Here is a 23702-nt window from a genome sequence, read left to right on the forward strand (position 1 = left end):
CATTTTTAAACAAATCTTTCTTTATAGTTTTAATCATGTATCTTCTAAAATTTAATGATTGTCACATTTAAAACAATGTGCTAAATGCAAGAAACCTTTCAAGAGCATTAAGGGTGAGGTTATTATGAAAGCCTTGCTTAAATTTGACTTCAAAGTCAAACTGAATTCTCCCTATCAAAATTTCACTGGAGTCACGATCAAAGACTCTGAAGCAGCAGGCTCCACTGTAAGTTCCAAAATGAATTGGAGTTGAGTTTGCCCTTGATTATTAATTGATTCTTACAAAAATTTGGGTACTATCTTCCTTACAAAATATCATATCCAGTTGAGCAAATTTTAAGTCTAGCCCTCTTTATAGTTGGAACACCTCTATATAGGTGTTCTTCCAGATGGTTCTAAAATTTTTAAAAAATGCTCGGCTGGGCGTGGTGGCTCATGCCTGTAATCCCAGCACTTTGGGAGGCCAAGGCGGGCAGACCACGAGGTCAGAAGATCGAGATCATCCTGGCTAACATGGTGAAACCCCGTCTCTACTAAAAATACAAAAAAATTAGCTGGGCGTGGTGGCAGGCGCCTGTAGTCCCAGCTACTTGGGAGACTGAGGCAGGAGATTGGCGTGAACCTGGGAGGCAGAGCTTGCAGTGAGCAGAGATCGCGCCACTGCACTCCAGCCTGGGCCATAGAGCGAGACTCTGTCTCAAAAAAAAAAAAAAAAAAAAAAAAAAAGTGCTTACTGTTCATAACAAAGACCTTCAGAAATACAACTTTGTAGAAAGAAATGTACTCCACCAAAGTAGTTTTGTTGACATTGTATGAAGTTTGAGAATTTAGGTAAAACAGAGATAACTGTTACATCAATAGCTTAATTGTAACCACTTTGAGAAGTTAGTTAGGAAATTAAAATGTACCCACTGAAATAAAGCCTGAAATCCAAACAACTCATACAAAGTGACTAAGGAATGTGACTAAGAAAGTACAGTGAAGCTTCCAAAAACGTATGCGTTTGCCTAGGGAACTCTCAAAAGATGACTTCTCCTTGTATCTACTATCTTCTTAAAATTCCACGTAATTACAGCTGAAATCAGGAAGCAGAGGAACAAAATGCTGAGATTATGAACCAGAGGCGAGGACAGACTGGGGTCCAATGAAGACCACCAGGACTTGCTTTTGTGATGTAAGAGTAAGAAATGTGACAGACTTTTAAAGACAAAGGTGAAACTAGGATACAGTTCCTATCAAGAAAACATGTATCATCTAACTTTTTGCCCATAAGTTTCTCTTGTCTGTTATGACAAAAATCGTGCTGCTTCCCAGAGCTACCTTTAAATTTTTAAATAATAGATACCCATGATTCCTCTTTTAGCAGTTTTTAACTTCTGAGTGTATATAAATCATAAAAACTTTAATAAGCAATAATTTCCTCTTCCCTTTCTTCTGCTACCATTTTTCCACATTCTTGTTTCTCTAATTCCTTTTTGTTTTCACACCAGCAATTTACTCATTGCTGGAGGAGTAAAGGCAGGATGCTGAGGGTAAAAAGAAAACACTTTTAGCCTCTGTTTTCCTCCTCAATTTCCTCCTCAACTCATAGTGGTAGGGAAAAAATGGGTATCAGTAATGAAAGCATGACTAGAATCATAAGTGTCTGCTTCTTTTTATATACAGACCCTGAAAATAAAAGAAAATGTTGCCATCATTGAGTGTTATGAGTACTAACAACTTCAATATTCTTGGTGACTGGTTCTGCAAGTTTTGCTTTTTCATTGAAAAGTGTTCTTACGAGCTCTTCCAATTTTGATAAAAGACAAGCTTCCAGCTAAAAGCAATTTGATGAGTATGGCATGTGTTTTGCTTTTCAGTGAATTATTGAAACATATACATGAAACTATTTATTGAATCATGTATCTGTTTCTTTGTGTGAGTGTAAAAATGAAACAAGTCTCTAATAGTGCTAATAGAACACTCATAAAAATATCACCATGTAGAATCCCTTTGATTTTTTTCAAAGAAAGAATACTGAAAAGTGAACTGCATGCTTTACTCTTCATGAGAAATACTCACATTGAGCATTAAATTCTAGCAGATGGAAATCCTAGAGGTCTAGGTTCAAATGTTAATTGTAAGTGCGAAGACTGAAGCAAGGAAGTTAGTTAGGTATTCAAGCACCTGTGCTCTCCTGGCCCCTTCTGCTTACATCCCCTTTCTCCACCCAGAATATTCAAGTGGGGCAGAAGAGATAAGAGAAATATATAAATATGACAGCCCTGTCTACGCATACAGCTGGACGCAAATCATGACCCAATGGTCCAGTCCCACAAACCTTGGCATTTTAAATAAAAATTCTTCTGAGAGTTTGTGCCAAGAAAGTATCCTGCTATTTTTTTTTTTTTTTGAGGAGGTTGGGGGTGGTAGCCGAGGAAGCATTAATTAAGAGGTAATTGTTGTTTCTTCCAACTCAATAAAGGCTTCGTATTTGTTCTCTACAGAAATACTACATTTCTTACATACAATTACATAGGCTAAATTCTCCATGACCAATACCACATGTAAAATACTTACATAATTAGAAGAAATAGAGAATTTCATGTGAAATAAAATAGGCCTATCAGATAGCCACAACAAAGGCTTGGAAACTTAGGTAGCCAGCATTTCCCCGTATATCAGACCCTAGAGTCACCTGAAGATCTCACCTCCCCAGATCCGTGAATGTGCCTCTGCCTCTGTGAATCTTTGCCCCCTACTTTCATTGCAGTTTTCTTTAATGCTTCCCATAGGCAGTCAAAAAAAAAAAAAGCAGTGAAAGAATTAAACCAGGACCTAGGATTTTCTCAGAGCAGAAGCCCGAGTTCTGCTCACTCACAGCCCAGTTCTCAGTTCTCTGGGTAACACTGACTAAATCACTGAGAAGGGACTGTTATTAGCATGTGGGCATAATGAGAAAGCATTTGGCAAATGTAAATACTAAATTATAACTCCTTTGGGAGTCATGGGAGAAATAGTACTGTCACTTACCTAAGTCTGGTGAGGTAATATTCACTGGAGCCTCTTAAAAAGTCTCCCTTGTGGGAAATTACTTGGCAAATCTCCACCCCTATTTCTTGTCAGGTTGCATTTATTTTTACTTCCTAAGTATGATTGGAGAATTCTAGTCCCCACAGTATAAAGATTGCACCTCAGGGATTTCTGAGATGAATCTTTGGTAGATGCTTCATGGGAATTATGCTTCATGGGAATTATGCTTATGTTGTCTAGGAAAAGAGAACAGATTTGGGGCTGTGATGTTATACAAATATCATGCTGGGAAATTGGTAGAGAAAGTCACACAAGAAAATTAGAATCCACTTCTAGCAAAACTTCCTCCCAGTAGGTAGAGCAACTGGAACTCTCATATACCACCTGTACGTGGGAATACACATGGTAATGCTGCTTTGGAAAATAGCTTGTCATTGTCTTATAAGGTTAAACGTACATTTGCCATGTGACTCAACAATTGCATTTTTACAAGAGATGAAAACATAATGTCCCTGCAAAGATCTACATACAAATACTCATTGCATCTTTATTCATAATTGCAAAAAACTAAACTACCCAAGTGCCCATCAGCTTATGAAAGGATAAAAAAATTACAGTTAATTCATGCAATGGAATGTCACTGACCAATAAAAAGAAATAAGCTACTGATACGTATAATAGTATGGGTTAATCTCAAAAGCATTACACTAAGTGCAAGAATCCAGACGTGAAAGTTTACATAGTATATAATTACATAGTGCATAGTTATACAATGTTCTGGAAAACACAAAACTATAAGGACAGAGAATAGATCAGTGGTTTCCAGAGCGTGGGGTAGTGGTGGGAGGATACTGACTGCAAAGGGCACAAGGAAATTTTGGGAGGATGGAAATGTTCTGTGTATCTCGATTTTTGTAGAGGTTACCTGACTATATACATTTGTTGAAACTCTTCAAACTATACACTTAAAAGGAGAGAATTTTATTGTATCTAAGTTGTACTTCAATGCATCTGACTGAAGTGGGGAAAAAAAAGAAAATTAACTACTATAACTCGGCCGTTACCATGATGGAATAAGTTATCACTGGGCCTAGAGTTTACAATATGCAGCTATTCCCTCAGTCGCTTAGAGATATTAGGACATGCTGGTAAAACTTCCCACTTCCTTGTGGCATCCTTTTAGACAACAAGAATGAATACTGCTTCCCAAAAATTGTACCTGCATCAAGGAACTTGCTAGTGTTACATGAACTATCAAGCTTAAGTCCACCAAACAATACAAAACACACACATTCCATACATAAGCAGTGCTTACAGTGCTTACAGGGTGAATCTGCACCAAATAGAGTCTCCCACAGTCTTAACGAAACTTATAGTATCCAATAGTGCATTTCGTGTGTGTGCTAATGTGTATGAATCTTTTCTTTCTTTTTTTTTTTTTTGAGGCGGGGTCTCACTCTGTCTCCCAGACTGTAGTGCAGTGGTGCGATCTCGAGAGGCTCACTGCAACCTCTCCCTCCCAGGCTCAAGCAGTTCTCCTGCCTCAGCCTCCTGAGTACCCAGGATTACAGGCACGTGCCACTACCACCCAGCTAATTTTTGTATTTTTTAGTGGAGACGGGGTTTCACCATGTTGGCCAGGCTGGTTCTGAACTCCTGACCTCAAATGATCCACCCACCTCGGCCTCCCAAAGTGCTGGGATTACAGACCTGAGCCACCGTGCCTGGCCAATGTGTATGAATCTTAAAGAGAGTGATATCTTACATAGAACTCTCAGTATCACTTAGTACAATAAATGACTTATAGATGGAAGGAAATTGACATGAATATGTAACACCATCTACTCTTAATGAATCCTTACATAAACTTATACACAAACACACTCACACTCACACACACACACACACACACACACACTCTATACATCAGACATTGCTTCATTCCCCCATGCCAAATACTTTATTAATGAATGTCTTCCTGATTCTTTTATTTTAAACAGCATATAAGCTCAAGGGGAGAGGCTGTCTGCCTGTTTTATCTGGAGTCCATGTTGACTGTTAATTCTGGAAATCTTTAAGCATTCATCTATCCATGCTGAGAGCTAGCATAGAGAAATACTCATTCCTGGCACGCAGCTCCATCTTTCATGTGGGAGATTGAAGGGTGGTTACAAGATGATAACTGTATTGCCTGAAGGAGATAAGTCCCCTTCTGCCAAAATAGTGCTTTGTATGTAATTAGTGTAAAAATTCAGAGGAATAGAGTTTATCTTTACAATCATCTTTCTCATGAAAAAAGAATCATAATGGAAGAACAAAGCAGTCCCTGCAGTGAACTGAATTGCTTTCCCTAAGTTTTCATTAAATCAAAGACTCAGCAGTTAGCCATCTTGCAGACACTATTGCAGTCTACTGCATGAGATTTGCAGGAAAGAAAAAATGAAGCAAACAGTTTTTTTTGTTTAAGACTTAGAACTGCATAATAATTATCTCTGGATCATAATTTCCTGCCTATGCATTTTTTGAATGTCTAGTTTCATTGGTTTCCCTTTCTAAGATTTTTGAGGACTCGAAGAAGCATCATCATGTAACTCACCAAATTTAAATGTGATACTTGTTAGGACTTTTTACAAGTTAAAGTGATTGGGCTCTTTTAGTGGTCTATATGAGGAAAAACATAAAGGAAATAACTCCAAATAAAACAAAATATGATTAGAATTTATGTTTCTGGCCATTTTTTGTTTTACTATTTGAAGCTTCTTCCAAAAAATAGAGTGAATATCAATTTTTTGTCTTTAACTGCCTAATTACTCATTTCTAAGACAATGTCTATCTTTAAGACTCATATTTAGGAATTACTACTTAAGTCAACTAAATTAAAATATTATTTTAAACAATTAGGATCTGGGCTTTTCTTATTTCTCAATTCAGTCAAAATTCAAGAGTCATTGAGTCACCCTAATGAGTATCTATAATTTGTCTGTGCTGTATTTCATCATTTCATAAGTCAGGATAATAATAGTAAATTCTTTACAAGTTTCATGTGGGTTAAGATGATGCATAAAAAACTTATAGGACAGTGTGAGGCATACAGAAAACAATAAACTGAATATAATATGCCATCATCAACATTAGATTTGCTTACTAAATATTGATTCTTCTCAGCAAGTTGGATTTTATACATGTAACCCTTAATTTGAATAAATTCTACCATGGAGACTCTGAAATTCAATGACCATATTCCAGCATATATGTTCTCCTTCACTTGGCCCTGGATGCCAGAGTAGGCACAAGTGTAATTCATAGAAGGATCAGAAATAAAACAGTCATTTTAGATATTTTCTTACCACTTCAGTGGCCACTGTGAGAGAACTCACTGATATAATTATTATACTAGCCCATGACTAATTCCTAAATGCACAAGCTCAGAGACCCCTCCCCCAGGGTATAGAGTCAGAGATTTTCTGCCTGAGAAAGCTAAGCCAAGAGGAACAATAGGAACCCCAAATCTTTGTTCAGAAGGAGCCAGAGCCACCCTTGGACTTCTAGGCATAACTGCACCCAGATGGTCCAAGCTATGAGAGATTATAAAGGGGAAGGGAGGGTTGCCAAAGGAAGAAGTGGAGAAAACAATTTCCTAGGCCAGTGCTTGTTCTAGAGTTTTCATCAGAACTGAGAAACCTTAAGGCAGAATTACTTCCCACCCTTTCTCTCCCCTTGTTTGTGTGTGTGTGTTTTCTAGCTCTTCTCACATTTCCTCTCTTCACCCCAGCTTTTTCCTACTCACACAGCCTTAACTAATAGACAAATGGGGAAAAATGGTAAGAAAAGCATTCCTACTCCCTTGACTGAGACAGAACTTTTATTACAAATCCAGACATTGCAGAGAAGATCCAGATTCTGTTTAAGTCATGTCTGGAGTAAAACACTCCCAAGTTACTATTCTTTGCTCAAGAAAAGGCTCAGAGCACTAGGGTACCAATCAAAATAAAGCATGCTGTAAATGAAGCTTGACCACCTTCTTTCCTGAGTGTTTTCTCTTCCACAATACACATAGAATGCATTGTAAACTGCAACCAACTGAATATACATGCCATACAGAAAGCAGTGCAGCTCCAAAGCAGCTGGGAACACCTAATTTCCATTTGGCCTGCTGACCGAGGTACATGTCAACTGCAGAAGGTGAGGAAAAAGAAGTGTGATTTGGCCAAAGCCAGGACAGGATGGCATTCTTGCCCCTGATAACTTCCAGCAAGGAATCAGGTTTGGGCACAGGAGCCATAGATACTTTGGAAGACCCTATCATTACAACAGTAGAAATATTCAGATGCATTACCAGAGGGAAAATTGGGTCACTGTTTATAACCAGAATTCCAAATCTCCACCAATTATTTGGAATAATCAATGAACAACACATCCCTGTTAAGGCCATCACAGTGGAAACTACAGTAAGAACTCTGTAAGAGATCTGGCCTTACTAATGAACTTCTCCAAAGACAAGAACTATCCTTAGATGAGGTCATTAAAAGAAATTGGTCTCCCATTTTTAGGCAAGATAAGAATGTTCTATTTCAGAGTTGGAAAATAAAATCAGGGTGGGGAGAGGAAAAAAATTAAAAATAATGCAAGATTAAAAAAAAAAGAGTTGCAAAATGCTCTGAGAGAACACAAAGCATTGGAGGCTACAAAGCCACTTCTGGTGGAGAAGTGGCCACTAGGGTATCATTTGAGAAGGGGAGAAGGCCATGATATCACAGATCATGAATGGAGCTGTTGCTCAGCCATTGCTGAGCTGGAGGAGTGGGCTATGGACAAACTCAATGGACTACTGGGGCCTTACCAGATTCAAAGCAGCAGGTTCTATACCTACAAGTAGATTTCAACGTTTGGCTTAGTGGATGTCATTTGCTGAGGTCGAAATTTCCAGCTGTGCAGTGTTAAACTCGGGATGATTATAGCACAGCTTTAAACAAGCTATTGATTTTAAACTTTTGTTAGGCTAAAAGAAACTAAGTTAGATCATTCAGAAGCAAGTGAAGAACTCACCTTCTAAAAATAAAGTTAAGGAACTTGGTAAGTAACTTCTTTTCAACAGAGAAATGTGTGGGCATAGCTTATGTAAGTGACATAAATGTAGAAGTCTCTGCACTGTTAAAAATTGTAAGTTATTTACTACATGGAAACTTATTAAGTCTCTACCCCTGTTTTCTATTATTTGGACCTCAGATGTGTTGAGTAATCTAGACACCCAAAAGGAAAGTCATTGGTGAACGTGTTCCTATACTGAGAGTGTCTCTTAACTGAAGGAGCCAACCTGGTACGCAAGCCAAGGATGCAACTTGAGTTTTATACTTTTAGTTCTGAAGAGTTTTATACTTTTAGTTCTGCCCATGATTACTTTATATAGAACCTTCCAGAAGGCTCCAAACTGATTACATCTTATTCAGATTTCTCTTATATAAATTTCAGTTCCTCAGTCCCTTATTTCTTTCTTCATGAATTCACTCGTTCATTACTTCATTCACTATTCATTTATTCAGCAAGTGCCTTCGGGGGGCTTTCTTCGTCTGTCAGTCACTGTGCTACGAGATGCGAAGGATCCCTAATTGAGTAAAGATGATCTCCCTTCTCCTACCCCCTCCAAGTTCACAGATAAGAGGAGGAGAGTGACGAGTAAAGAGTCCCTGTAACTGCGCAAGAGTACAAATCTGAGTGCCACCCTTTCCCTTATCTTCACCAAACTTTAATTGCAAAAGCATTTACAGTCATGCCTCACTTAATATAGGGATATCTTCTGAGAAATGCGTCTTTAGGTGATTTCGTCATTGTGCAAACATCATACAGTGTACTTACACAAACCTAGATGTTATAGCCTACTACACACCTAGGCTACATGGTTAGCCTATATGGTAAAGCCTATTGCTCCTGGGGTACAAACTTGTACAGCATGTTACTTACTGTACCAAATACTGTAGACAATTGTAACACAATAATGAGTATATATTTGTGTATCTAAATATATCTAAATATACTAAAGGTACAGTAAAAATATGGTATAAAAATAAAAAGTGTACACCTATATAGAGCAGTTACTATGAATGGTGCTTGCAAGGCTGGAAATTGCTCTGGCTGAGTGGCAAGTGAATGTGAAGGCTTAAGACATTACTGTACCCTACTGTAGATTTTATAGACACTATGCACTTAGACTACACTAAACTTACTTAAAAATTAAGTAATTTCATTATGATGTTATGATAGCTATGACATCACTAGGCAGTAGGAATTTCTCAGCTCCACTAACATTTTGTAGGACCACCATTGTATACACAGTCAGTTGTTGACCAAAACATCGTTATACAGCACATAACTGAACCTCTCTATCATCCACTTCACCACTCTTCTCTCCATCCAGCTCCAGTCCTGTCTTCCCCACTTATTCACAGCAGAATAATTCATTATAACCGCTAGAATCAATAGTTTGCTGTTTCATGGCTTCCCCTTAGCCTTTCTTCAGTTGTTCACATGCAAAGGGATTTTGCGCAAAGGGACCCTGACTTTGCATTAAGAAGAGCAGCTTCTGTTCTTCCAGTCCCTGCGCTGTCTTCCCCTCACCTCTTGCCCCAACTATCTCTCTTGGAGAATACTGCACAGACATCATCCACTTCCTTTATTTAGACTTAGTTGTGGCCGCTTCTTGGTTGCTGGGCTTCTATGAACTAGACCAGAAGGCTATTTTGATAAATATAATATTCCCCCCTTATTCTCATGGAATACATCCCAAGACCCCCAATGGATGCCTAAAACAGCATATAGTAGAGAACCTTATATATATATTATGTTTTTTCCTATACATACAGGAATACCTATGGTAAAATTTAACTTATAAATTAGGCACAGTAACAAAAATAACATAATAAAATAGAACAATTATAACAATATACTGTAATAAAAGTTATGTGAATATGGTCTCCCTCTCAAAATACCTTATTGTACTGTACTCACTTATTTTCAGACGGTGGTTAACGATGGATAACTGAAACCGTGGAAAGTGAAAATGCAGATAAGGGATATGAGTCACTTCCAAGACTCTTAACTGTCTCGTCTTCCTTTACGAGCAGTTATATATAGGTCAGTGGTCTACAGCAACTGACTTCAGACCCAAGTGACCCCTCTATGTAATGGCAAACTGGCTTTACTCCTTTTCCTGGTGATTTGGGAATATACTTTCAGCCCTTGCTGGTATACTGAATTTAAACTCTTTTGAAATTTCTAACAAGTCCCATAAAATATTAGAAAACCACTATAATCTTATGTTATAAAGTGACCAAGTGAAAACACGGTGGAAGATATCAGGGTTCATGGGCTTTATCCTAGTATCTGACAGAGAACAAAGATATACAACAACTCACTGGGACTGTTAGCATCTGCAGAGGGGCAGGAAGAGAGAGCAAAATATCAATTTTTTAACCAACTAGCTCATCTCATTTTCTGAGTATGCAGCATGCTCCATTCAGCAAATGTTCTTCACATCTTTCAGAGTATTCGATTACCATATCATAGTATTCTAGAGGAGTAAATTAATGGTGCCTCTGATAGCAACATTGCAATATGCACAATTTCCACTAGTCCTAATGTGTTTTCAGAAAGTATCACAGGTAAATATTCCAACCAAATGTAGCAATGATCACTCCTTTGAAGAAAACATTATTGTGTCCTATTAATCTTATACCAAAATTTATGAGCAAAATCTATTCACGGCTTCACCTGCAAAGCATAAAGGGAATTTTCCCCTAGAGAAGGTCTCTACAACCCCACCACAAATATCTCCCATATATCTATGCAGCCTCCCATGGCTAACATTTAAGCAGACTCAACAAATGAACTTAAAGAACCCACATTATCTCTGGTTGGAGATTAATTTGGTTGAAGAACATATTGACTGATGCATAGTTGTCGTCAGTTAAATTTCATGATGATCTATTGAGCTGTGTTCCCAACACTATGAGACCCTTACAGATGCGCTCTCTCGATCCACATCAGCCCTATCACTGCCCCCAGCCAAGCCACCCATCGCGTCTTACCTGGACTGCTACTACCACCTTTGAACTGCTTTCTGTCTCTGATACCTGCCCACCTTCATCCCAATAATCCCTCTTTTAAAACATTATAGGCACTGGATGACCATGTAAACCTTTCATCATTTATGACATAAATTGAAATCAGGATTTAAAAAAAAACAGGGGAGGAATTGGTTAATAAAAAGTGATTATTTTCCATTTCTATTGAAATCAAATCAACATGTACTTCTGTGCTCTATTCTGTGAGCCAAAATAAGATCTTTTAATAAGGATTCAAAGAAACTCAAAATCAAGAATTTAGCAACTAGGATGTTGCTATACCTGCTTTCTAATTAACCTGTCTAGTTGAGGAAAGGAGGCCAAAGATGTACTATGCTAATTTTTGTTCTTTGAGCAGAGTGTCTTCTAAAACGCAGGCTAAGTTGCCTTGGATTTCAGAGTGGGAAACTTTGATCCTAATGTAAAAAAGCAAATAATATTTCAGGCACAAATTTTATAACAAATAATTTTGATTGATATTGCACTCTTTATTCAGCATTTTTGCTAAACTCAAAGAACCCCATTCATCTCTTACTATATGGAACTTCCAATTAAAATCAATCCAATTTGATTGAGAGTTAAAATAAATGGAAAGATCTCCTTAATAAAAATCTTTGAATCAAATATATTTGTTGGACTGCTTCTAAGGCACATGCCCACTTTATAGAATAGATATAACATGCTAATATGTCCACTTGCTAATATGTTTATATGCTAAATTCTACAAAGAAGCCGTGGAGAGCCAAGAGACTCTGAGACTATATTTGAGGTGATAACATTATAACCATTTTCTTTTTATTTTTCTTTGAGACAAGGTATGGCCCTGTCACCCAGGCTGGAGTGCAGTGGTGCAATTTGGACTCACTGCAGCCTTTGCCTCCTGGGCTCAAGCCTTTCTTCTGCCTCAGCCTCCCAAGTAGCTGGGACTATAGGTGTGCACCACCATGCCCAGCTAATTTTTGTATTTTTTTATACAGACAGGGTTTCACCATGTTACTCAGGCTGGTCTCAAACTCCTGAGCTCAAGCAATCCACCTGCCTTGGCCTCCCAAAGTGCTGGGATTACAGGTGTGAGCCAGCCACACCTGACCTCATTTTTAAGTTTACTTTAATCTTTTAAATTACCCAAGTAAGACATGAATATAAACAGTAAGTGTTTATGTAAATATAAACATTTCAAATATAGACATAAATATAATTTTTTTAAAGTAATAGTTTGTCTCATCTACCATAAATCCCATTCTCCAAAGGAAGTCTTGTTAAATTTTGTTATTTATCTTTCATGGCATGTTTCTGTGCATATGCATTTATATACATAATTATAATGTGTTTTTGTGTAAATGCTAGAAACTAAACAAACTGTTCTGCAGCTTGCTTTTTTCTTTGTTCTTCTTTTTTCTTTTGGAAACAGGGTCTCTCTCTGTCACCCAAGCTGGAGTGCAATGGCTTGATCATGGCTCACTGCACCCTTGACCTCCTGAGCTCAATAGATCCTCCTACCTTAGCCTCCCAAGTAACTGGAACTACAGGCTCACACCACTATGCCCTGATAATTTTTATATTTTTTGTAGAGACAGTGGGGTTTTGCCATGTTGGCTAGGCTGGTCTTGAACTCCAGGGCTCAAGAACTTTGGCCTCCCAAAGTGCTGGGATTGCAGGTGTGAGCTACCATGCCCAGCCTGCAGCTTACTTTTTTCACTTTAGTTGTTGTGATAACATTGATAAGCCCACAGTTAGTGGTCATACAAATTGTTTCCAATTTTGAATTATTCCATCCATTTTTATAGAAAACATATTTATAGGTATATCTTTGTATACATGTGAGTGTATCTTGTTTACATTTCTAAAAATAAATGCTGAGTCAACGGGCATTCTAAATATTAATAAAAATTCCCCTTCACAGTCCTTCCCCAAAAAGAACATTACCAATTCAAAAGCCTATTCTTGGTATTCAAGAGTACCTATTTCCCCACTTAAGTGTCACCATTGAATATTATCAGTAATTTTCTGGTCAGTCTGAAAGGTGAAAAATATTTTATTGTTTTATATTTCATTTCCTTAATTACCAGTAAAATGAGCTTCCTTTTATATGTTTATTGGCAACATGAAATAACTTTTAAGTCCTAAAGTAAAAATGTGAAATCATAATGATCTTGGTGTAAGAGTGTGTCCCAGTGGACTCCTTTTCTTCTTTCTTTCATATAGTCTCTTGTTTCATCTTCTCATGAATTAGTGCAAAAAAAGGGAAAACAAATGAGCCCTGTGATACCTTCCTCTGGAAGAATGCCACTGCCAGAGCATTGGATAATAATATAGGAATTTATACCATCCATAAACCTTTTATAGTAGTGTAATTAGTAGGGCTATTAATACTACCCAAGCCTGGCTTTCTTTATTGCTGTAAACACAGCTTGTGATCACATAAATGACGTCAGTAATAATCCTTCAGGGCATCATGTAAGCCAGAGTACTTGAGTCAGTTTAGCTAGGGTTTAATCAGAACCTCCATTCAAAAAAAAAAAAGACGATTCTTTTTGCTTAGAAAGCAGAGTATGAGGGATAACCCTTGGACATCTTCCAACATTTGGATTTTGGGTTCCATGGTAGGTTTACTGGTGTTGAATGGGCAGAGTGGATTAGAGACATAGAGGAATTTTAGCCAGTTATCAGTGCAAGGTTATGCCCTTCAGCCAAATGTATCCTGCCTTTTTCTATAACCTAATGTCACCTACATATGGTTTTCTGCACTCTTGTGGCATTTTTATTAACGTCTCATCCAAAAAAATGAAGTGAACTTAATATATACTCTTCCTGTCTCTTTAAAAAATAATGAATGTTATATAGAAGTAGGTTGCAGGAATCCCAAATCTGTGTAAATTAGCAGCATGGTCTAGATAACTGCTGTGTGAATCAAGACAGTAAAATTGTGTTCAAGAATAGTCTCTACTGTGGTTTATGTTCTTTCCTTAAGCAGGCTACCTTAAGGAAATCTGTGGCTCAGATTTCCTGGCTCAAAAAAATGGGGATATCTGTCAAATAAAAAGTATTTATTAACATATTTATATGCTTGGAGATATGAATTTGTAATTGTGGTTGTTTCATTAAAATGTTAATCTATTTGATGATATTTGAGAGTCAGTATCCAAGTGTATGTGACTTTTTTAGGGCTGGCTATTCATTTATTTAAGCCACAGCTCTGAATAAAACTAGTATATTTCAGGATGAATAAGATTTTCTGAAGCAACAGGTGAAACAGTTTATTCAACTTGGATGAACATTGACAAAGAGAAGCACACAATTAAATGAAGGAGAAAGAAATAGTGCACAGTGAATTTGTTTTTATAATCATACTGTGCACTATTTCAAGCACCATCCAAAGGAGAAAGGAAAAGATAATGAGAATATACAGCACATCATCTTTAATCCCCACAAGCATCCCATAGGTCATCTTACAGATGAGACTCAGAGAGGTTAGGTAACTTACTAAAAATTATGTAGTGACTTCTGTTTAGGATATAGTAAGCCACAAAAGATCAACTCTCATTCTATCAACAAAAACAAGCCTGATAAGCTGTAAAATTACAGTTTTCTGAACCCAACAGAAAGCTAAGGATGAAAAGAAACCTAAATGTACAAAACTCCAGAAAATTTCATTTGTAGGAGGAAAAATATTCATACTTCTCTCATCCCTAACAGATTACGAAAAAAAAGAATCCATCATAGAAAGAGTTAGTTAAAAAAAAAACAAAAAACAAAAAAAAAACAGCCAAAACTTTAGGTTTTAATGGCCACATATGGACCGGTGAGGCAGATTATAATTCTAAAGGACCTCAGCCACAAGGCAGGTCTACATATACCTGCAAACTCTGTTCCATGAGTCTTCACCTAGTGCTGGGCATGTGATATACCACACACTATACGGTAATGCAGGAGAGCTAAAAGCGATCCTAAGTGTGTGGAGCCTCCCAGTGCATGGCAGTCATCCTTTGCAGACGAAGGAGAGTAGTACAGAAGATCTGAGAGAAATGAGTTTAAGATACACCAGACTTTCAGCTGCCAAGCAAGGTAGGACTGGAGAACTGAGAGAAATCTTTTTGAGACATTTCAGGCAGAGAAAGAGAGAGAATTCCATAGGTGCAGAAACCCTGGTACAGGACTGGAGAGCAAAGAGAAGTCTCAAAAGCCCAAATAACAGCTGAATTGTAAAGCAAAGAGATACATCTAATGTTTCAGAAAGCTGGAAGCGTAGTTGTAAAGTGCAGCAATCTCCGGAACCTCACCCAGCACTCAGATTCCATGCCTGAAGAAGAGTAAGTACTGATTCTGCTCTCAAATTATTTGAAGACAATGGTAAACTAAGTCAAACTAAAGTTGCAAGAAAGACCAATCCCAGTTATCAGATGGACTCTGTTTCTCAATCAACAAGCCTGACACAAGTGAAATGGCATGGACTTAGAAGTAAATATTGCTTAGTTCAGTCTCTACTGTTTTTTTATACAAAATGTGCAGATACAAGTAAAAATGACTAGACATGCAATGAAGCAAGAAAATGTGACACATGGTCAAGAGAGAAAGTAATCAATAGAAGCAGACCCAGAGATGTCATAGATGTTAGAATTATCAGCAAATTATCAAACTTAACTATGATAAAAATCAAGTTCCAGTGGGATCAGTCAACAACATTCATGAAGACATGGGAATTTCACGAGAGATCAGGCACCTATTTTTAAGATAGTCAAATGGGAATGCTACAAATAAAAAACACAGTAAAAGAAATGAAGAATGTAGGACTCAACAGAGGAAAGAATCTGAATTAGATGGCAGGTAGGCACAAGGTATCCAGTTAAAACAGAATAAAAAGGAGAGGAGAGGAAGAAAAACAGAATGGAATATCCAAGGTGTATGGGACAATATTAAATGATCCAACATGCATGCAATTGGACTTCTGGAAGAAAAAGAGGGACAATGGTGCAGAATAAATATTTGAAGGGATAATAGCTGAGAATTTTCCATATTTGTTGAAACACATCAAACAGATCCATGAAGCTCAGCAAATCCCAAGCAGAAACTATGCAAAGAAAATCACATTTCTTTTCTGTGTCAAACTTCTAAAAAACAAAAAGAAAAAGAAAACCTTGAAAGCAGCAAGGAAAAAAATGCATTACACAAAGGGAAAATATACTTCTCTTCAGAAACAATAGAGGCAAGAAGTCATTTTTTAAAACATTTTTGAAGTGCTGAAGAAAAAAAAAACAACCCTGTCATCATATAAGTCTGTAAACCATAAAAGTACTCTTTAAAAGTGAAGACAATTAAAAGTCATACATCTAGTAAGAAGCACAGCCAAGATTGGAACCAGAGCTATAGAAGTCGGAAGATTGCTTTCAGCCACTTTCCACCCTGCCTGTACTTCATCGCATTTGTTATGTACTGGCACAGGTCTCTGGCAATGCTAACCTTTAAATGTTTAATTTTTACAATTTGTTTTTATTATAAAAAATAATTAATGGTCTTATTAAAAATTCAGTCCATATCAAAGTATAGAAAGTAAAATTAAAGTAAAGTCAAAGCCTCAATTTTCCACTTCCTACAGACTCAAATTGGCAAATTAGCAATTAGACAAGCTCCACTTTCCTTGATCTCATTTCTCAGGCTGGGATGTGAAAAGTCGTGGTGAGAATACTTGTCAAGCCTTTTCTGTTATGGAAAATTCTCACTGGCAATAAAAATAAGAAGCTCAATCCTTTGAATATGCAAATTCAGGATATCCTATTTTTATCAGTCAACAAAAATCATCAGAAACTTTGTAATCAAAACTTTTGAAATGAAACTTTCTAACCAATTTACCAAAATGCCACTAACATAATTATTTGATTTATAAAAGAAAGCAGAAAGTTTTATGTGTTTTCCTGCTACCAAAACTATCTGATGTTATGTAAGTCCACATGCCATTACTCAGATGTTTTCCACCTTAGTTTCATTGATCAGCCTCACCTTCACAAACACTACCACTGTCACAGGCATACATGGGAACACTTCCAGCAAATATGGCTGGCAATTTTAAAAGTTAACATTTTTCTGTATGTATTCCCAGAAGCTTCTTGAGGTAGAAGATGAGAGTCATACCTGAAGGTCAGAAGAGGAGGCTTAGTTTGACCAGGCACTTCTGCTCCACTTGAGAAAGTATCCGTAGTCATTCCATTATCCATAGTTTGCTCATCTAATTTCAGACACAGTCAAAGGTGAAAAATAACTTTTCTTATTTATAGTGAGACCAATTAGCGAGAGGGAAAAAAAAAGTTGGTGGAGATCCTTAGAGTCACCTACTCCAACTGTGGGGTCTCCATTTCTTCAATGTTAAGTATTTTGAGCTCATTGGATTCCAGGGAAATGTATCTCATTTTTGGGGAGCTCTGACCATTAAATGTCATCCTGATAATGAGCCAAAATATGTTTCCTTTTAGGTGATACTTACAATCTTAAATCTAGTTCTCTACCCCATGGAATATTGAACTGTTCTTTTATTAGATAGTCACTGAAATGTTTAGAGGCACACCCCACGCACACTTTTCTTTCCAAGCTAAATATCCCCATTCCCCTCTTCATTCTTATGACTCTCCTCTCAACAGCTTCAGTTCAGTTCATTTCCCTTTGAGACAGAAGGACTCACTTCTCTGCTGATCAGATTGGGAGGAGATTGATTAATTCCCTCTTTTCTCTCTTGTTTTTGGAGTACAGTGGCAATCATAGCTCACTGAAGCCTCAAACCCTTGGGCTCAAGCGATCCTCCTGCCTTGGCCTCTCAAAGCACTGGGATTAAAGGCATGAGCCATAGTGCTGGGCCTCTTTTTTTGCTTAAAATATTTGTTTATTTTTACTGGTCATAAAGTGTTGGTTATAGAGATTTGGGAATATATCTTTAAAATACAATGAAAAAAATCATCTGCAATCTCTCCAGAGAGACATTTTGGTATATATATTTACGTATATATTAAACCTTTAAAAATTATACAGTACATATTGTTTTATGACAAAGCTAACGTAGCTAAGCCTTACAAGGTACATTCATTTTGTGTGTTTGTTTTTCTTTTGTTTTGTTTTGAGCTTGGGAATAAGCACATCGTTTAGTTGTATTATACTTTATGTTGGCACCTTCCCTTGGGATGCTTCCTCCTTTTTTTTCTTTCTAGTGCCACATTTTTATTTATAGTTTAAATTTGTGCTTGTTTTTTTTGTATACTCACAGATCACTGCACCTAAATGATCACAAATGAAAAAGGGATCAATTGATTTTCTTACATCCTCCTACATCCTTATTGCAGGAAAGCATATTACCAAGCAGCTAGTTCTGTATCTTTTAACTTGTTAAAAGTTATTTGCCTGATACCTGACCAGAAGTTTTTCCATAGTGTTATAGACTCACTTCTTTCTAATAATCTTTTGTATTCCTGAAAGTCACCTCAAGTCACATTAAATCACCAAAACCTTCCCATCTTTAAGGACTGCTGCATGCTTTTTAAAGCTTTCTTGATAGGTCCTATTTTCTATGCCTATCATCGCTTTCCTTGCACATCTCCTGACTCTCTGATCTCTTCACACTTCCTAAAAATGTGAAACTCTAAATTAGATACTGTCAAGTATGTTATAACTGACCAAACTTCATCTTTTCTGAGCAAGCCTCCCTATCCTTTTGCTATCTTAGACAAATTTTATCTTATATTTCCTCTTCTAAATCAAAACTTACTGGAATGGCCAAGAAAGTAAAGGAGATAATCCCTCCCACATACCCTACAGTTAAGCAGTTCCCTTCCTGCTACATGGAATAGTTGTATGCTTCATTATAAAAACTCTTAGAATGAAAAGCATGGCTTGAATTTAAGAATTTCCTCTTGAGTTTGAGGAAATGCCAGAACCTTGGGCGGGGACTGATCTCTGTTCTAGTGTGGTCCGGCCTCTTCTATGTATTGGCCTCTAAACTCTTGTTATTGACCCTGCCACTGACTGGTTACAAATTACAGAAAATTCTTAGTTTTGTTTTAAAAAAACAGTCAATATTCATAATTTAAACAGAATTTTCCTCTGTTATAGTTCCATTGTTCTACATCGTTTTTGTTTTTTTTTAACTTACTACTATAGATTCTAAGTCCCTTTGGACTCTCCTGTGAACTCTGAAAAATGGTCTCTCCTTACTCAGGAATGTTTTCCATTGTAGTGGTCATGTAGAACACGCTGATTTTTGGCAGAAAGGAAAGGCCTTGGCTAAGTGCTGCCTATAAAGCCACTCCCCATTCCTCCTTACTTCTGTGCTACCTGCCGTGGTAGTACTGAGGTGAGGTAGGTGTCAAATGATCTCATGCTCACTTTTGTGAGGTTTGGATGTTCTACTCCTACAATAGCAGCTTTCCCAATCTTGCAGCTCAAGTATCTCCCAAAACTGGAAGCCACAGCTAATCAGGTCTCCATCACTGCTCCATGTCCCTTCTGTTCAAATTCCTGGGATCGCTGCACTAGATATCCACACCTCCTGGGGGTTGCGGATCTAGATTTTTTACCATCCCCCAAAGCATGCCAACTCTTCTGTCCCTCTCACCTTCCTTACCTAGAATGTTGGCCTCACTTTCTCCTCCACACCTCTCTTGTTAGAGGCCTTGTTTCTAGGGGCCAACCGCTTGCCCATGTGTGGGAAGATCCTGTGTTCCTACAGCTGTTTTTTTGAAAGAGTTTTCATATCCTTTTTACTTTTGTATTCAATGCAGCTGACCATCTTATTTATAACAATTTATTTTTAGTAAATGTTATTTCTTTAACCTTAAAAGTGAATATCAGCATATTTTATCTTTCTAATGATGCTTTTTACCTATCATTTACTTTTAAGGGGGAGGAGGGAGGAATCACAAATAGCTCAAGAAGAATCATATGTATTAGCCCAGGTGCCTTTTTTATTCCACAAAACCATGGATGTGGAGAAAATTCCTTACACTGAGCCTCAGGGAAGACCCTGCTCCTACCCAGTCAACTACAGGAGACTGACAATACCAATAAAGAAACCCAGACAGCCAGATGAAAAAGATAACTCTCTTATGTTTTTCCCAGGATATTTCAGTCCCTCTGAGAGTGGGTTTGTGCACTAAAAACCCAGGTCTGTGATTGACATATAATCAGATTCACCCATGGAGGTTTAGCAACTCAGTCTCTCAAAACTAAACTTAGATAATAGCAAAATAGTTTTGAACATTCTTCTTTAGAATATTTCTATGGGAGCCATAACAGAAAGATTATGTCCACGTTATTACAATTTTTAATGAAGACTTTTTAAATGCAGAATATACATGACTTAATTGATTCATCTTCTAGATATAGTTTAAATTAATGTTTCCCCTGAGTTAAATCTATGTATACCCCTTATACACTGAGAACTGAGCAGAAGCAACTGGAGCCAGGCTTATCTCAGGAGTTTTTGGAACAGGGGCTTGGGTATGCTTCACTTTTGTATTCATCAGTGTTCTCCAGAGAAACAGAACCAATAAGAGACCATATATATATAAAATGAGAAATTGGCTCACATGATTTTGGAAGCTGAGGAGTCGCATGATCTGCCATCTGCAAGCTGGAGAACTAGGAAAGCCAGTGATGTAATTCATTTTGAGTCCAGAAGCCTGAGAACAGGAAGAAAAGGAGCTGTTGGTGTAAGTCTCTTCATCCAAAAGCCTGAGAACCAGGAGCTCTGATGTCTGAGGGCAGAAGATGAATGTCCCTGCTCCAGAAGAGAGAAAGAGTGAATTTGCCTTTCTTCTGCCTTTTTGTTCTGTCTGGGCTCTCAGCAGATTGGAACACTTGCCCACATTGGTGAGGGCAATCTTCTTTGCTCAGTGGACTGATTCAAATGCTATTCTTTTCTGGGAACACCATCACAGATACCTGGAAATAATATTTTACTAGCCATCTGGGCACCTCTTAGCTTGGTCAAATTGGCACATAAAATTGACCATCACAGATTTCAATTTTTTTGTTTATATGTTGGGAGAAACTCTTCCCAGTACAGTACTCTTGGGATTGTGGAATGAATATTTTTTAAAGGCTTTTTTTAAAGCATAACTGACCTTCTAGTAAAGTTACAGGAATTTGTGGAGGCCAGATACGAGTGCAGGCCAGTAGCTCCTATAGACAGACACTCTCACGCTGGTTATGTAACTGAGGCATGTGACTGCTGCTCGTAGTGTTCTAGAACCTGGGTTTTAACAGTTGCCAATATGGCATTCAAAAGGAAAGGCTTGGAACGCAGCAAATGTGAAATGTTGGACCAGAGACCTAGAGTAAATCCAGGAAACTCTCAGTGGATGAGCTAGGATGAAATCTGTCCCATAAGAAAGGAAATAGGGAAATGTGCCTGTCTGAGTTTTGGTCTGTTGATAGCAAAATAAATAGGAAAAACATTTCTCCTTTGAGAATTTCTGACCATAGCCCATATGTATGCATATTTGGGGCTAGAAAGCATATTATCTGTATGAATTTAAAACCACTGAAGCTAAAATTTAATTTTAAGTAGTCTCAGATTGGTAGTTTCCCTAGGTGTTTGGCATAAACAATTACAGATCCTCTGGAAGAATGCATTTTAAAATAGGATCTCAAAGAATTCCCACAGGTCAAGTTCTAAGGACTATGAGCTACTAATTTTTTAACATTTTAAACAAATCACATGAGAAAGAGGCAGCGTAACAATAAGCTACAGAAACAGACCTGCAAAGATTACAGATGTTGGAATTACTAGATAAAGAATTAAAGTAAATATGTTTAAAGAAATATAAGACAGTTTTCATTGTATGACACGGGAGAAAGAGATTATCAAAAATTGATCAGGTAGATCTGAAAAAAACAACAAATAGAATTTCTAGAAATGAAAATGTAATAATTGATATTAGAAACCAATATAGAGATAAAACAACAGCTGTGATTCTACTAAAGAGAGAATTAGCGAACTGAAAGTTAGTTCTTCAGACTTTATTCAGGACGCAGGACAAAAATAGAAAGATGAAAATATGAAACATGTTAATTGACATGGAGAGTGAGAATGTGCAATATGAACTCAGATTCCGGAAGGAGATTATAGAGAGAAAGGGAGATGGGCACTAAAGAGATAATGGCAACAGATTTTTCAGAATTAATAAAAGACACAAATGCCTAGGTTCTGACAATCTAGTGAATACCAAGCAAGGTATTCACTGCATTTAGAATGAAAATAAGACCACATTTAGACGTATCGTAATAAAACTGCAGAACCCTAAGGAGACAATCTTACACAAAACAAAGGAAAGATAAAGACTACCCACAAAATAGTAACAATTAGACAAACAATGACATCTAGAGAAGTGTAATAATACCAACAAAACCTACAATTACATATGTAATAAAATTATCCTTTAAAAAAGAGGGTATATTGAAGATATTTTCTAATAAATAAAAGTAGAGTTTCCTACTAACAGATTTTCAGCAAGGGAACTTCAAATGATGTACTTCAGGGAACTAAACTGAAGAAGGAATGGTAAGTAAATAATATGGCAAACATGAAGGCAAATCTATACAAATATTAATTGTTCAAATCATAATGATACTGTTTTGTTTGTGAGGTATGAATCTGGAAAAAAATTAAACCATAGGCAAGAACAGTATTCAAATTAGGAAGTGGTGGTTGGGATTAAAATGTTCCAAGGTCCTTGTATTGATTTGGAGGAGGGTAAAATTAACTTTAAACACTGGAGTATTACATTTCTTAAGTAACCACTAAAAGAATAGAAATAGAACCCCTAATTTAAAACCTATTAGAGGGAAGACAATAAAATGAGGGAGGGAAATTCAATAACTCCAAGAGAAGGGAAAATGTGCAGCAGAGAGAAGAAACAATACATGAGACAAATCAAAAGTCCAAAACATCACCAAAATGAGTAGAAATATATCAGAAATCAGTATCAATGTCAATGCACAAACTTTTCCAGTTAAAAAATAAGTCAGCAGCATAAATTTTTAATATTCTAGATGTACGATGATTATAAAAGATACACTTAAAAATGGAAATACCAAAAAAAGATTGAAAATACAATAAGGAAAAAAATAAATTTGGTAAACTCCAAAAAGAGAGCTACTTTAGATATATTCGATATAAACTTTAAGACAAAAATGTTACTTAGTGATAAGACTCACTACCTATTGATTAAATTTTAGTTAGAGTTAAACAATCCTAAGCCTGTAAAAATACCTAGTAATATTGATTCAAAATAGATAAAGTAAAAACTGTCCTAGCAAAGTGGGAGATTTTGAAAGTGACTTTCAATAATGGTAGAGCAAGAAATAGTAAAGTGTGTTTGCTATTTTATTTTTAAAAGAAACAACTTTTCACTTGGATGATACTTTCTGTTATGTCTTTGTTTTATTTTTCATTATTTTTTCCACTCTTTTTATCTTCTTCCTGATTTATTCTTGGAGCTTAAGAAATTTAGTCAAGTATAGAATAGAATAAATTCAAGGTATTAGTAAACTCAAGCATGAAAAAGCAATTTAGGGCCAGGCACTGTGGCTCAT

At 36.9% G+C, this 23702-nt stretch overlaps 1 protein-coding gene and 1 long non-coding RNA gene across 3 annotated transcripts in view; one reads left to right on the plus strand and one right to left on the minus strand.

Moving 5' to 3' along the window:
• Positions 1-20785, minus strand: part of LOC107986523 (uncharacterized) — a 48119-nt gene extending 27334 nt beyond the window's left edge. Inside the window, exons 1-2 of the long non-coding RNA XR_007059722.1 lie at positions 20693-20785; positions 17256-17349 (exon numbers count right to left, since the gene is read on the minus strand). This is a non-coding gene — a long non-coding RNA (uncharacterized LOC107986523). The remainder of the gene's footprint in view (positions 1-17255; positions 17350-20692) is intronic.
• The window catches only part of SLC35F1 (solute carrier family 35 member F1), a 410408-nt gene that overhangs the window by 251258 nt on the left and 135448 nt on the right, over positions 1-23702 (plus strand). The window lies entirely within an intron of this gene.

This window comes from Homo sapiens, chromosome 6 (genome assembly GCF_000001405.40).
Source record: "Homo sapiens chromosome 6, GRCh38.p14 Primary Assembly".
In the NCBI taxonomy this organism is placed as follows: Eukaryota; Metazoa; Chordata; class Mammalia; order Primates; family Hominidae; genus Homo; species Homo sapiens.